Source organism: Homo sapiens, chromosome 14 (assembly GCF_000001405.40).
Source record: "Homo sapiens chromosome 14, GRCh38.p14 Primary Assembly".
NCBI lineage: Eukaryota > Metazoa > Chordata > Mammalia > Primates > Hominidae > Homo > Homo sapiens.
Window position 1 is genome coordinate 103,735,993 of NC_000014.9, and position 13,453 is coordinate 103,749,445.

Here is a 13,453-nt window from a genome sequence, read left to right on the forward strand (position 1 = left end):
GAGTGCTCACCCCCAGCAGGTTTTTGGGCACATAGCCCTCCCGGTCTCCAAGGCGAGCCCACCACCACTCAGTCTCGCTTTCGTCCTTGCGCCTCAGGATGGTGAGGGCGTCCCCTTCGTGGAAGGACAGCTCGTCACTGTTCTGGGCCTCGTAGTCCCACAGAGCATACGCCACACCTTTGTTCATCACACCCAGCTTTTCCTGCACCCCTGGAGCCAGAGAGCAATGGTCAGGCCTCAGCAGAGGGTGGCCTGCAGCAAGGGACCCTGCTCGAGGAACAGGACACAGTCGTGCTGCTGCCGAGGCTGCTCTCAGCAGGCCCCACAGAGGCCAGCGAGGGAGATGAGACACTATTGAAGACTAGGGCCCCCACCCGATACCTCCCCTGCCCGGCCCAGCTGCTGCTCCTGCTGCCGGCCCTTTCTAAGTCCTGCAGGACAGACAGGACAAACGAGCTCCTGAGCCCCAGGGCAAGAGTGTGCTGTTCTTAAGGTGACGCTTAGCAATCACAGCCAGAACAGATTTCTAAAGTCACTAGCTAGAGCAGCTGTGACTGCTCTTGGATGGTAATGAACAAACTACACACAACTGAGCCCTGACTGAGCAGCTACTTGTGGGTTCCCAAGAAAGGGCCCTTCTGTGGGACACTCTGCTTCTGAGACCCAGTTGTGGTGACCATGGGGAGCTTCCCTTCCCTGTGGTGGTGCCACTGTGACGGCAGCCTCCTCCTCACACTGGCGGGACTCACCTGGGGGCTGCTGTGCCTCCCCTAGCCCTGCCACACAGCCTGAGAGTTTGTTGCTTGGCTCTGTTGTGGGAGCTTGGGCCAAAGAGGGCATCACATGGCTGTTTTCATGGATAATTTCAAACCTAGAGTCCAGTGTAGGGCACATAGTATGTTCTCAAGTAATGTGTGGAATAAATGACTTGTGACTGTTTAATACTCAGAATAGAGAAGATGTTCCAGCTCTTGGAAAATGCGGCCCTGGCTAAAGCAGCTTAATTAGGACATGAGCCTCATTCATCAAATGTTTCCGGGGAATGGCCAGGGCCCCAGGCCACCCCAGGAAAGGAGCTGGCCCTGCTTCCAGAAGCAAGGGTACAGAACATCTATGCAAAGCACAGCCAAGTCATTTTGTTTTCTTGGGAATCTGGCACAGAATCCTTCTAACAACATGGACTTTCAAACATGTTTTCAGGAATGAAAACAAGGGGCAGTGTGACCTTCACTCGAGTGAGACATCCTGGCTGCCCCTGAAGAAGGTGGAACAGCTCGAGAATGCTGTGCTGCCAGGCACGGTGGCTCACACCTGTGATCCCAGCACTTTAGGAGGCTGAAAGTGGGCAGATCGCTGGAGCCCAGAAGTTCGAGACCACCCTGGGCAACATGGCGAAACACTGTCTCTACAAAAAAAAAAAAAAAGTACAAAAAATTAGCTGGCTGTGGTGGGACAAGCCTGTAGTCCCAGCTACTTGGGAGGCTGAAGTGGGAGGATCAATTGAGCCCGGGAGGTCGAGGCTGCAGTGAGCCATGATTGCGACATTGCACTCCAGCCTGGGTGACAGAATGAGACCTTGTCTCCTGTCTTAAAAAAAACAAACAGAAAGCTGTGCTGAAGCTTCTCTGGCACCGGCTGACTGTTGCCATGGCAGTACCACAGCAGACAGCACCACTGTGGCCCCAGGCCTCCCCTGCGTACCATATAGAAACTGGGAGCACTGGATGTAGCCTTCCTCCATCTCCTCACACTTGTCTGCAGCAGTTTCAATGTCGCTTATGGTTGAGGCAAAAATGGCGGCACCACTCTCCACCAGCTGTTTGCAGAGGTGAACGCTGTTACAAGAGGCAGCGCAGTGCAGCGGCGTCCTGGAATAGAGCGTGGGTGAAGGTGCAGGCCTGGCACTGCCTGTCCTGTAGGACGTGGCCCTCAGAGATTTCCCTCTAAGGAATCTCGCGGAAGGCGTTCACCTTTGTGCCATCAAGTCTCAGTGTTGTTTCTTTAAAGGCAGGATTTCCATGAGCCAATTGTTTCAGACCATACATACATTTTGAAAAGGGGGCACAGGGAATGGGTTAAGAAATGGCCAATCCACAGATGTTCACGCCACACTGCATGGTGATGTGAATGTACATAACACACTGAAACACACATTTAAAAATAGCTAAGATGTGAAATTTTATGTTATGTGTATTTTACCACGATTCAAATGCAGCACAATGTCAGCTGTCTGAAAGTTCAAAATAACCCCCACAGGAGACCAACACGCCTCGCCCAGCAGCAGAGCTCCCGAAGGCAAACGGAATGAACAATGCGACAACCTACATGCCTGACCCAGGGGGATGCTGAGGCTGCTTTTCACACGGAGCACAGAGTGTGAAGAGTCCATACGGAACATATGAGAAGGGGAAGATGGAATGATTCACAGAATGCTTAGACTGCAATGTTAATGACGAGGCACAGAAAGAGCATAACCACAGCCACGTTTTTAACAAAATCATCAAGAGAAAAGGCTGGAAAAAAAGGCAAGGAAACCCTGGCAACAGCTGTCTTTCAAGGATGAAATGATGGGTGTTCTTGCTCTAATTCTCTCTTCCGTGCTTCCTAATTGTCTAGAACACGCCTGTTTTCCTTATGCAAAGCAGGGAAAGTAAATCTGTCCACCCCACACTCCTACGGGCCTCACCATCCATCACTATCAGCAGCATTCACGTTGACACCAAAATCCAGCAGGAACTTCACGATGTGATGGTGGCCGGCGCAGACGGCGTTGTGCAGTGGGGTGATCCCTTCGTCGTTGGGCTTGCTGGGATCTTCCACCTAGGACACACGGCCTGTGAGCGCCCATCCCCTCGCCCCCAGCAGCGTGCACTGGTCCCCGGCTGCAGCTCACCTCATAGATGATCCTCTGCACCAGATCGAACTCTCCTTCCAGAGACGCGTCTAGGAGCAGTGCCAGGGGGTTAAACCGGACTCTCAGCCCGTGCCCCGTCCGCTCCGAGTTGGGCTTCTTCAAGTTGGTCCGCTTGTTCTGTTGGGAAGGAAGCACGCTTTCCAGTTAAAGGTGGTCCACTGAAGTCTAAGAACCCACGCCTGCTGGGAAGGAGTGGTGGGAGCTAAAGCCCAAAGACAGTGGCTCCGCGAAGCAGCCCTGGAGTGGTAGCAGTAGCAGCGCCCAGGTGACCACCTCAAATAAGGGCCAGGGCCACTCTGCTCACTACAAGGGAGAGCCCTGTCTGAGGCCTGAGTCCCTGGCTCACGCACAGAGGGACACGGCTGTGTTTGAGCTTCTGGCCACTCCTCGGAAGACTCTGTGGGAGGGAGGGTGGCGTGTGACTGCCAAGTAGCTGATGGGAGCCAGCAGCTCGTTCCTGCCCACATGCGACAGGGTTCTTCCTGCTATGGCACCAGATCCTAGTGGAGAGAATCCCACTGAGGGTTCCCTGAGATGGCGCCTGGCTCCCTCTCTGCTCCGTCAACACTGACCTCCCACCCAGGGCCTTTGTCTAGATGCTTCTTCCCTCGTCTCTCTACAGGACCTTCAGGTGCCAGCGACAGCTCCCCTTCCTCAGGAAAGCCTCTGGAGCTCCCTGACCAGCTGTCTGGGAAAGGCTTGGCCACATTGTGCATTTGTGTGGCCGAGCCCCATTTGTCATGCCTTTTCATGCCCCATTTGTCTGTGTGACTGTCCGTCCTCCCTACAAGACGTAACTCAGGGACATCCCTGGTTCCCACTGCTCCCAGCACAGCCTGACCAAGGGAAGGACCCCAGAGGTCCTGGTTGCATGAATGACCAGGAAGGCCAGGCTTTGGTCTAGCAATGACACCCACCGTGGAGGTGGCAGGAGGGTGGCTGGCAGGGGGAAGAGGTGCTGGAGGGACCTGCTCTTCCCCTGGAGATGGGGCCTCAGCCACAGGACTCGGGATCTGCTCCGTGGTGGGGACCGTGGCCACGTTGTTGTTATTGTCCTCTGCCGGCTCGGCAGTTTGGTGGGTGGTTTGGGGACAGATGAGCTCCTCTGGTTCGGGGGAAGGTAACTCATTATCATTGGCATCTGATGACGGGGCAGGCTCAGCGGGGAGTGGGGCTGTGGGCTGGGCAGGGGGGAGCTCTTCCAGGTTTCCATTGGCATTGGTGTTTCCATTGTCCACATCGGCCAAGGTGCCCATGAAGTCCTGGGAGGGGCTGGGCTGGTAGAAAGGGGTGCCCTCCATGCCACCGGCCAGGGTGTTGAAGCGCTGGTACAGCAGCTTCTGGATGTTGGGCCCGCCGGGGCCCTCGGGCTCTGTGATGGAGCTGCGCTTTTTCAGGGGCCGGGGCGCGTTGGCCAGCTTCCTGCGGAGGGCCTCCAGGTCTGCATCACTCTGGTAGCGCAGTGGCGAATGCACGATGGGCGTGAGCTTGGTGGGGCTGAGTGGCCGTGGCAGGCTCTCCACGGTGCTGCCATCTGCGGGGGCGGCGGGGCCATCCTGCTCAGGCTCTTTCTCAGTACTTTCTGAAGGTGGCTGAGGCTGTGGTGTGCCCGTGGACAGTGACCCGTGAAGAAACGGCAGCGGCGATGGAGAGGTTGAACCCGAAGGTAAAACGGGCTTACCATACACTGGGGAAGACACAAAGGACAGGCAATTTTGACCTCACTACAGAGATCTAGTCATACACACCTATGATTACACCAGAGACAGGCTCCTGCAAAGACACACATATACATCTGCTGCTGTTATTCAATTCTCATTTCAAATCTCTGAGGAAACCTCCCCCTCTTAGAGCCTCCACTGACTCCTTCTGAAAGGTGCAGTGCCTCTCTAATGTGTCGGTTTTTACATTTGGGTTTCCAGAACTGGAGCTTTTTCAAAAGAAAAAAATAGGGTGCTAACCCGACTTTTCCTGCCGCAGACAAGCCTGCCTGTTTTCTGGCCAAGGAAAAAGACAAAAACCACTAAACATGCATCTGATTCTTGGACTAACTCACATGACGGAGACACACGCGCCTCCTCAGAGCAGGAAGGTTTTACCTGGAGGTCCAGGAGCTCTTGAGAATGGTCTAAGCCTTTCCCACCACAGCCAGAACCCTCCCCACAAGGGAACACTGCACCACCACCTGGGAGGTCCCTGTGCAGGAAGTGACTAGGCACGTCCAGGAATCCCTCAACTGTGAGTCTAGAAGCTGCAGCCAATGCCCAGGAATGTCTAAGAAGGCCCTAGCCTAGACCTGACCCGCGGCTTCCTCCCGTAAGAGTCGGAAACACCATCAGCCTCTGTGGTAGGTGTGGAACTAAGCTACCTTCTCTCAGCTGCCTTCTTAGAACATCTGAGCTCCATAACCCAAACCAAGGCTTTCCTCCCCTCTGGGCTATGGGGGAGGCTCCTACGCAGCAGACGCCCTCCTTAAACTGCCCATGCCCAGGGGTCGGGCTCAGCCACTACCAGGAGGGCCAGTGGTCAAGGCCACCCTCTACGCACTGGACAGCTCCCGGCACAAGTTACCACGAAACAGAAGGAAAAGAGGAAATTCTCGACATCTCACCCTTCCCGGAGCTGGATTTCCTAAGTAGCACACGGAGGTGGCTGCTCAGACAGGAAGTCAGAGAACTGTGAGCCATCTGCAAAACAGCCTCCTCCATGCATTCCAGCTTCCATTCCCTTCTCACACTGACACCCAAGGCTGTACTTTTATGTAAGAATTAAGTTTAATCCTAAATAGCACGTGGCCCAAACGTAAAGAAATACATTAGTATTTTCTTAATTAAAAGTATAATTTCCTAGCCCCAAGAAAAGGAGAGTATAAACCCACTCTACCTGCTTTAACTGACTTATTTAAGGCGCTGTGTGCTGCCGGCTGGTAATTCTTAGGTGGTGTGGCTTGCTGGAGGTACATGGAGTATATGGAACTTGAATTCACTGTCTGGGGTCCTTTCCTGGGAGACTGTGGCCTTGACCCTTTATCAGCCAGGAAAGGCCTAATGGCCACTGTCAGTGGGAGTTCAGGCTTGCTGTCCCCAGCTGGAAATGCAGGTGGTCCCGCTGGCGGGTACGTGGGACTTGGCGGTACGGAAATCCTCTGCTGAATCTGTTGTGAGGAGCCTGGCTGGGGGGTGCTGCCTGTGGCGGGCAGCAGGGTGGGCCTCTGTCGACTTGGCAGGCCTGCACTGGGCCTGGGCAAGCTGCCTTCCTTCCTCCTTTCCAGGGAGCTTGTCGACCCAGGACCCAGAGGTGTAGGACTTGGGTATGTCCCATAGCTTGGAGGCAGCTGCTTGCCTACACCCGGGATGGGAGGTGGCACTTTACCAATCTCGATGCCCTAAGTTTAGGTGTTAAGAAGAAAAACAAAGTCACCCTTTGAACAGTTAAGAATATTTCCACCCACATTCCCAAGAGAATACACAGTAGAATTTGTAATCCGTCAAATTGGCTGTGACCAGGACTTGGGGCACACTGTTGAGCTCATTGCCTGTCTGCAAAAGTTCTGACCGAAAGGTGTGTGTACTCGTGGGCTGCTCAGGCTCTTAGGGCCCAGTAACCCTCTAGGACTTTGGGTGTTGTCTGGACAATAACAGGATTAACTTGCCTCCTGACAAGTCATACCCTTTAGCTTAGTACTAAGGCAGAAGAGAGCCCTGTTGAAGAGCCCGCTTGTGTTCTGTGGTAAAGACACAGGCCTACCGGCTTCTCCGTGGGTCCCAGTGCTGAGAAGGGCACAGGCTGGCTGGAGACAGTGCCCTGCTTGACAGACCCCTCCACGCTCGGATCCTTCCAGTCTGCACCGGCCACCTGCACTGGTTTCACGGAAGAGCTAGAATTCTGTTTTAATGTTGGCCAGTTTCCATCATTAGCTTGAAAAGAACACAGAACTTACGTAAAACTTTTCTCAATGTAGTTGAACCAACCTAAGAATAACACTCTGCCAGAAACAAAAACAGCACTGGGACATCCCATTCTGATGCAGATCCATTAACCGAGTGGTCAACCACCAGCCACATGCACAACTGCTGATCTCCTCCAGCACCCACAGACCCGTGCACAAGACCAAGGGACGGGCTCTGCTGGCAGCTCACTGCCAACGCCCAAATCGCCTCAAGTGTTACCAGAGACTCACGCCAAACCAAGGCTCCACTGGTGTGGGCCTGGGGCTGCACCCTATTTTAACACAGGTCAAATCCATTGCATCAGCACCACCAAACAAAATAAGCACTGGCCCTTACTTTTGAAACACTATTTATGAATACAATTACATAGAGCAATAAAAAAGATTTATCTTTTGACTTCATAATAGGTTTGACCTGTAGTACTTTAATTATTGAGATAAAAATTTCTGCCCTCTAAGGTAACTTATGATCACAGGAGGCCCGTGCAGGTTCCCACTGATTTGCGTAGCAGGAGGAGCAGGCTATCATTCTGTTGCAGTGATTAGAAAGCTGGTCATCAACCCCAAGTTTTCAGGAAAGCCACTGAAATGACAGGTTCTTTACAGAGTATTTTCCAAACTGAAAAAGGGTGCAGAAGTATCCCCTTGTAACACAAGGCCCCTCACAGTGGCCGAAAGTCCATTATAACACAGGCTCCTGGTTCTCTTTTACAGGAACAGGTGCTGAACTGAACTAAAGTGTTCAACGCTTCCAGCGCCATCAGCAATATGGGACAGACAGAAATCAGAGGGACTCTTTTAGGCCCTCCTGGCAGGAACAGCACATCCCCTTCCCTTATCCCATCTGCCAGCACAGGCAGGAGGGGATAACTAAGTAGCAGCAGGAAAATCAGTGGTCCTCACAACAACGTCTGAGCCAGAACTCCGGACTCATAGCACATGACGAGGAAGCTTCCCGGCTGCGCTCTGAGCGCCTGGGCAACACAGGGCCCATCAGCCGCAGCCTCACACGGCTTGCTCCTAAGCCAAACTGACCCGATGCAGCCGCACCGCAACCCCAGCTGCATACACTGCTGGGCTGTGAAGTTATGATGCAGGCTCCAGGCAGCGGCTTCTGAGACAGCTCTAGTCAAGCCCCGTGGGTCCTGGCGAGGCATTCCAAGGCCCCTGGACCAACTGCCATCTTGCTCCACGTGGCCTGGAGGATGTGTGGCCAGAAACCTGCAGCCTCCCCAAGGACAGGGCCTGTGGTCTCAGGGTCACAGGGAATGTGGCTGTCCAGGTGCTTCAGAAACCACCCAGCAACAACAGGAAGTTTTATGGAAATCAGCCATAGTGGGGACTAAAAAGCAATTTTCTCCTTTCTTCAGAAGAAGGCAAGAGGTACAGAAGGAAAATCATTTTATAGAGGAACAATTATCTTTTAGTATGATTGTAAAACTAAAAGCCTCATAATAAACTCAGAAATATCTTAATTTTGTAAAAACAAACAAAAAACCCTCCAAAACAAAACCCGCGCTACGCCAGCATCTGTCCCTTGGTGTCACACTCTTTCTAAGGATGGGAGGGTACACGTGGCCCCACCCAGACTCCATACCTGTCTGTTGAAGAAAGGGACAAATTACGTTTGTGTGGCATCTTTTTCAAATCTAGATGTGATGAGCAGACCTTTGTCAGTTTGGAAAAACAAGTGACAGGTGATTTTGTACATATTAAAGAGGACGCAGCTTCCCACTAAGCTTGTCAGCCAACATACGGTTTACAAATGGGCTTGCAGAGGGCCGCGAGGAGCCATAATTAGGCCCGACGTCGAGGTCTGACACTGTCCATGAGCTGGTCACTCTGGGTTTACTGTGGCCATCTGTGTGACACAGAACCAGGACAGCCAACAGCAAGGGATTAGAGTCCCTGCCAGGAGGCTTCACAGCCCAGCTCCACCTCTGGGCTGAGCTGCTGCCCCGACTCTGAAGGTGAGCACAGGTTCCCCGTGTCCATGACTTTCATCCACAGCAGAGGCTAGGACCAGGGCTTCGTGAAGGCATCTCCTTGCTGCAACCCCTTGAGGCAGCACAGCAGACACCAACAAGGACGGGACACAGGAGACATTTCTCACCTTGGGGAGTTTCTCAAAGGAAGTCAGCAGAGAAGTAGCTGGCTGTGCTAATTACCTCCCACTGGAAACAGACAAATATCTACTCCTACCACAGGGTGGTTCAAACTATAAATAACAGCTTAGCAGAGCAACCTGCAGTTAGGGGTTCATGCCAACCCCACACTTTATGTGGCTGCTGAGACACGGCCGTAAGGGATCTGAGTGGGGGCTTGTGGCTCACAAGTGCTGGTGATGCTCTTCTCTTTCGGAGTTCATAACAAGACCCAAGCTCCCCAGTGGGGGCAACAGATGTGTCGCTGTCCCTCCTGGGGGCCAGGCAAGAGAAAATGAAGCAAACAAAGATGAGCACAAATCCACCACAATCCCGAAAAAGGGGCTCGAAACACAGGCCTGATGGCCAGAGAGTAACAGTACTGTTTTCATAAACGAAGGAATGTTTCAATACATCAGGACAGGGATTCCTGATGCTGTGTGTTTCAGGGAAATGTGTCAACCTCAGTCATAAAGAAAGTCTTATTGCAAGGAAGCCCCAACACTTTTAATGCACTGGTTGAGAAACAGACTCTCCATGAACAGCTTGCCCTCTGCTTGGCAGGGGCACCACCCATGGACTACACTAGAGGTCCAAGTCCATCACACAGCACCATTGTGAGGTCAAGACCAAACCAACGATGTGTGGACTTTGATCAATGAGGACAGAGCGCTGTTTGTAGGGGCAGCCCCTCCACTTGGCTGGCTGTAGCCGAGTTGTGGTGAGGCATCCATGCCGGGCCTCAGTGTCCTCAGAGTAAATAAACCTGCAGTAAGAGAGGACACTCGTGGGTCAGTTTTTTTTGTTTTGTTTTGTTTTGTTTTTTTTGAGATGAAGTTTCACTCTTGTTGCCCAGGCTGAAGCACAGTGGCACGATCTCACTGCAACCTCCGCCTCCCAGGTTCAAGTGATTCTCCCGCTTCAGCCTCCTGAGTAGCTGGGATTACAGGTGCACGCCACCACGCCCGGCTAATTTTCGTAGTTTTAGTAAAGACAGGGTTTCACCATGTTGGCCAGGCTGGTCTTGAACTCCTGACCTCAGGTGATCCACCCGCCTTGGCCTCCCAAAGTGCTGGGATTACAGGCGTGAGCCACTGCACCCGGCCCATGGATCAGAGTTTTAATTAATCATTTGTGTTTTGAAAAGCCACACAGTAGAGACCTCTAGTTCAGTAAAAATAACTTGTTTTCCTTTTAGGATTGTTACCACAGGGGAACACAGCTCTCCAAGCGCCTCACGGGGAGACTGAGCCTGGAGTCTGACGATGTGTGGGGCAGAGCCTCAGGAGCCTGCCCCACCCCCCGCCCCTCCACCGCAGGCCCCATTCCCTGCTCACAAACTCTCCCCCAGGAAGAGGGCCAGGACCACTCACCGGATTTGGATCTTCCATGAGCAGCATTTGAGGCAATACTGAGAGACTGGGGCTTTATAGGGTCCCCCAGCACAGGAAAGCTTCCGGCACTGGGAACCTGGATATAAGGCCCCACAGCAGCGACCCTGCCCGATGTGCTCAGAGGGGACTGTGGTGATGACGTGCCATTCACACGGTTCAGCTACAAATTGGGAAGAAATGAGAGTCAAGATTCTCCTACATTCAAAGAAGTCCTAAGCTTAGTGCAAGAGACTGCCAGCTCGGACAGAAAGCACTCACTCAGTGGTTGGTTTTTAGGAAGCCTGTCATCTGGAAAGATCAGCATCTAGAAGGGGAGACTGTGGAGAAGGAACTGTAGCTTCCTATGAGCAATTCTCCGACAACACCCACCCATCTGGAGCTGTACACATGAGGAGCTGATGTGAGGGCAGAGCAACTTCCCCGTGATCCACATGCAGCTTCCCTCTTACTCAGGATACTCTTCCTCCCTTGAGTGGGCACAGAGACACTGGTCAAATCCTGGGCTCTGAGCCTGGCTTCAAATCCCCTCTGTGACTTACTCGCTGTGCTGCTTCGGGCAGGTGACTCAGCCTCTGTGCTCACACCCGTGGAGTCGGGATAAGGGCTGTAGCCGGTACTGTCTAAGCCACGTGGGGCACAGTGAGCACGTAAGGCTCTGACTCCCAGCAATGGGCCCAGTTCCCTGAAGGCAGCGCTGCCTTTCTCAGCCAGGACACAGAGCCACAGACAGAGGACACTGTTCACATAACACTGCTCAGGAACAGAGGCGCCTGGAACAGGGATTCTAGAGAACTACTGACGTCCTCAAGATTTCAATATAGGCTCTAAATAGGATCCATAACCCCTGTGATTGTAAGATTCTATATGCATGAGGACAGGTCATTTCGGGGTGAGGGGTTATGGCTTTCACAATTGCTCAAAGGTACCTAGGACCTTTGGGTGGAGACGCATCTCTGCAAAAATACTGACTTCTTCAAGGCGATCCCTTGAAGTGTAGGTGGAATGAATCTAGCTGTTTGTGATGGATAACTTTACACATCACCTTGACTAGGTCACAGTAACCAGATATTTGGCCAAATACCAGACGACATGTTGCTGAAAAGGTATTTTCCAGATGAGATTAACTTTTTTTTTTTAATTTCCATAGGTTTTTGGGAAACAGGTGGTGTTTGGTTACATGAGTAAGTTATTTAGTGGTGATTTGTGAGATTTAGTGCACTCTAGCAGTGCACACTGCACACAATTTGTAGTCTTTTATCCCTCACTCCCTTCCCACCCTTTCCCCGAGTCCCCAAAGTCAACTGTGTCATTGTTATGCCTTTGCATCCTCATAGCTTAGCTCCCACTTATGAGTGAGAACATACAATGTTTGGTTTTCCATTCCTGAGTTACTTCACTTAGAATAATAGTCTCCAATCTGGAAGAGATTAACTTTCAAATTGGTAGATTTGAGTGAAGCAGATGACCCTCTAGAAGGTGGGTGGGCCCCATCCAATCAGTGGAATGCCTTAAGAGAAACAGAGAGACGCCCTGAGAAAGCGGGATCCTGCCTAGAGTTGGCCTTCGGACTCCAGCTGCAACATCCTCCCTGGGCCTCCACGCTGCCGGCCGCCCTCACAGATTCTGGACTTGCCAACGTCCACAATCATGTGAGCCAATTCCTTAAATCACATACACACACACACACACACACACACACACACACACACACACACACACACGTGCACGCGCACGCTACTGGTTCTCTTTCTCTAGGAAGCCCTGACTACTACGCCATTACTGAGGAGCATATGTAAGCACAGGGAAAGTGCTTGCAGCCTCTCTCTCACATGGCCTCTTTGTTGTTAATCTTGAGAAAAAGGAAAACCAACATCTGAAATCATAAAGTTGTACAAATAAACTACTGATCTTTAAACTCACTGTGTTGTTTTTTTAAAAGAAGGGCAGATTTGTAAATGAGAGACTGTGACATCCACAGAACTGGAAGCTCCCTTCTACGTCTACCACCCTCCACACCCACTCCCCCTAGGCAAAGGCCTTCAAGCCCATGCTGCCTCCTCAGAGCATCTTTCAGAGCAGTAGAGGCTAACAAGAGGACACTATTCTGTCACCAAACTATATGCAGAAGGGAGATGTGGGAAGGGAGTCCTTGCTGGTGGGTCAGGAGAGTGGGTGCTCCATTCTCCTACCACGAGGGCAGAATGCACTCAGCTCTGCATTCAGGCACTGCTCCCCTAATCACTGAGTGCCACAGGTGCGAGAAAGTCAAGTGCCACATCCGGCCAAAGACACAGAGTGCAGGCGCCCCTCCTCCATGCAGGCGGCTCAGTGGTACATGTGCTCACCAATGCACTGTGAGCAGCAGCAAGACTCAGGACTCCCTGCCTGACTACAGAGGGTGGTAAAGGGGTATAGGCCCTGGGACCAGGGAATAGCTTTCAGATGGTGCAACCAGAATGAAGTAACGACCTGGAAAGACACCCGTGCTGCAGTTAGAAAAAGACAAGGTGAGCAGTGAGACTAGTGTAATTCCTGCAATCCCATTTTCAGTTAAAGTTCTGTACCTTTGTGTCTTTATTAGGGAAAAGACTGGAACCATTAGCAACTATCACCTCTAGAGAACAGGGTGGAAAGGACTTTCACATTTTCCCTTAAATATTTCTGTACTTAAGAGATTTATCTTAAGGAATCGACTCATGTGATTGTGGACGCTGGCAAGTCCAAAATCTTTGATACTGAATTTCAAAGGTTAATACTCATTTTTTCAATGAGCATTTATTCAATGAGTATTTTATCGTATTATTTTTTCATTGAGTATTTATTCAATGAGTATTTTATTGTATTACTTTTTCAATGAGTATTTACTACCTTTAAAATTCAGTATCAAATAAGGATTTTTTAGAAGCATAACCCCTTACATAGCATTTTGGTCAAGAGTTTACAAAATCCTTCTACATGGCTTATTTATAAGAATCCTTACAACAACTCACGGGGCAGGTAGGACAAATCACTTTACAGCAAGAACATGAGGCTACGCAAGTCAAAGAATTTG

The 13,453-nt window shown here is 51.5% G+C and overlaps 1 protein-coding gene across 13 annotated transcripts in view, besides 2 other annotated features; it reads right to left on the reverse strand.

Moving 5' to 3' along the window:
• The window catches only part of PPP1R13B (protein phosphatase 1 regulatory subunit 13B), a 115,620-nt gene that overhangs the window by 2,798 nt on the left and 99,369 nt on the right, over window positions 1-13,453 (reverse strand). For 8 of the 13 annotated variants that reach the window (XR_001750206.3, XR_001750205.3, XR_001750204.3 and 5 more), the window contains 9 exons: window positions 10,381-10,561; window positions 8,620-8,724; window positions 6,662-6,831; window positions 5,798-6,299; window positions 3,832-4,601; window positions 2,894-3,031; window positions 2,687-2,820; window positions 1,702-1,868; window positions 11-210 (listed from right to left, as the gene is read on the reverse strand). Coding sequence is in view for 9 of the 13 variants with exons in the window: in XM_011536593.4 (XP_011534895.1) it covers window positions 11-210; window positions 1,702-1,868; window positions 2,687-2,820; window positions 2,894-3,031; window positions 3,832-4,601; window positions 5,798-6,299; window positions 6,662-6,831; window positions 8,620-8,724; window positions 10,381-10,561 (2,367 nt within the window). In the remaining 4 variants the exon portion in view is untranslated. Of the gene's footprint in view, window positions 1-10; window positions 211-1,701; window positions 1,869-2,686; window positions 2,821-2,893; window positions 3,032-3,831; window positions 4,602-5,797; window positions 6,300-6,661; window positions 6,832-8,619; window positions 8,725-10,380; window positions 10,562-13,453 lie in introns of those variants that run through there. The other 5 variants (XR_007063997.1, XM_005267487.6, NM_015316.3 and 2 more) reach the window with 2 other exon arrangements.
• Window positions 7,024-7,805: an enhancer, noted in NCBI's record as "H3K27ac-H3K4me1 hESC enhancer chr14:104209353-104210134 (GRCh37/hg19 assembly coordinates)". NCBI's record gives its function as "activates a minimal SCP1, AML or CMV promoter by ChIP-STARR-seq in naive H9 embryonic stem cells {active_cell/tissue: H9 hESC(naive)}" and the evidence as "EXISTENCE:reporter gene assay evidence [ECO:0000049][PMID:30033119]".
• Window positions 12,760-12,809: a silencer, noted in NCBI's record as "silent region_6175". NCBI's record gives its function as "represses an Ori minimal core promoter by ATAC-STARR-seq in GM12878 lymphoblastoid cells {active_cell/tissue: GM12878}" and the evidence as "EXISTENCE:reporter gene assay evidence [ECO:0000049][PMID:35858748]".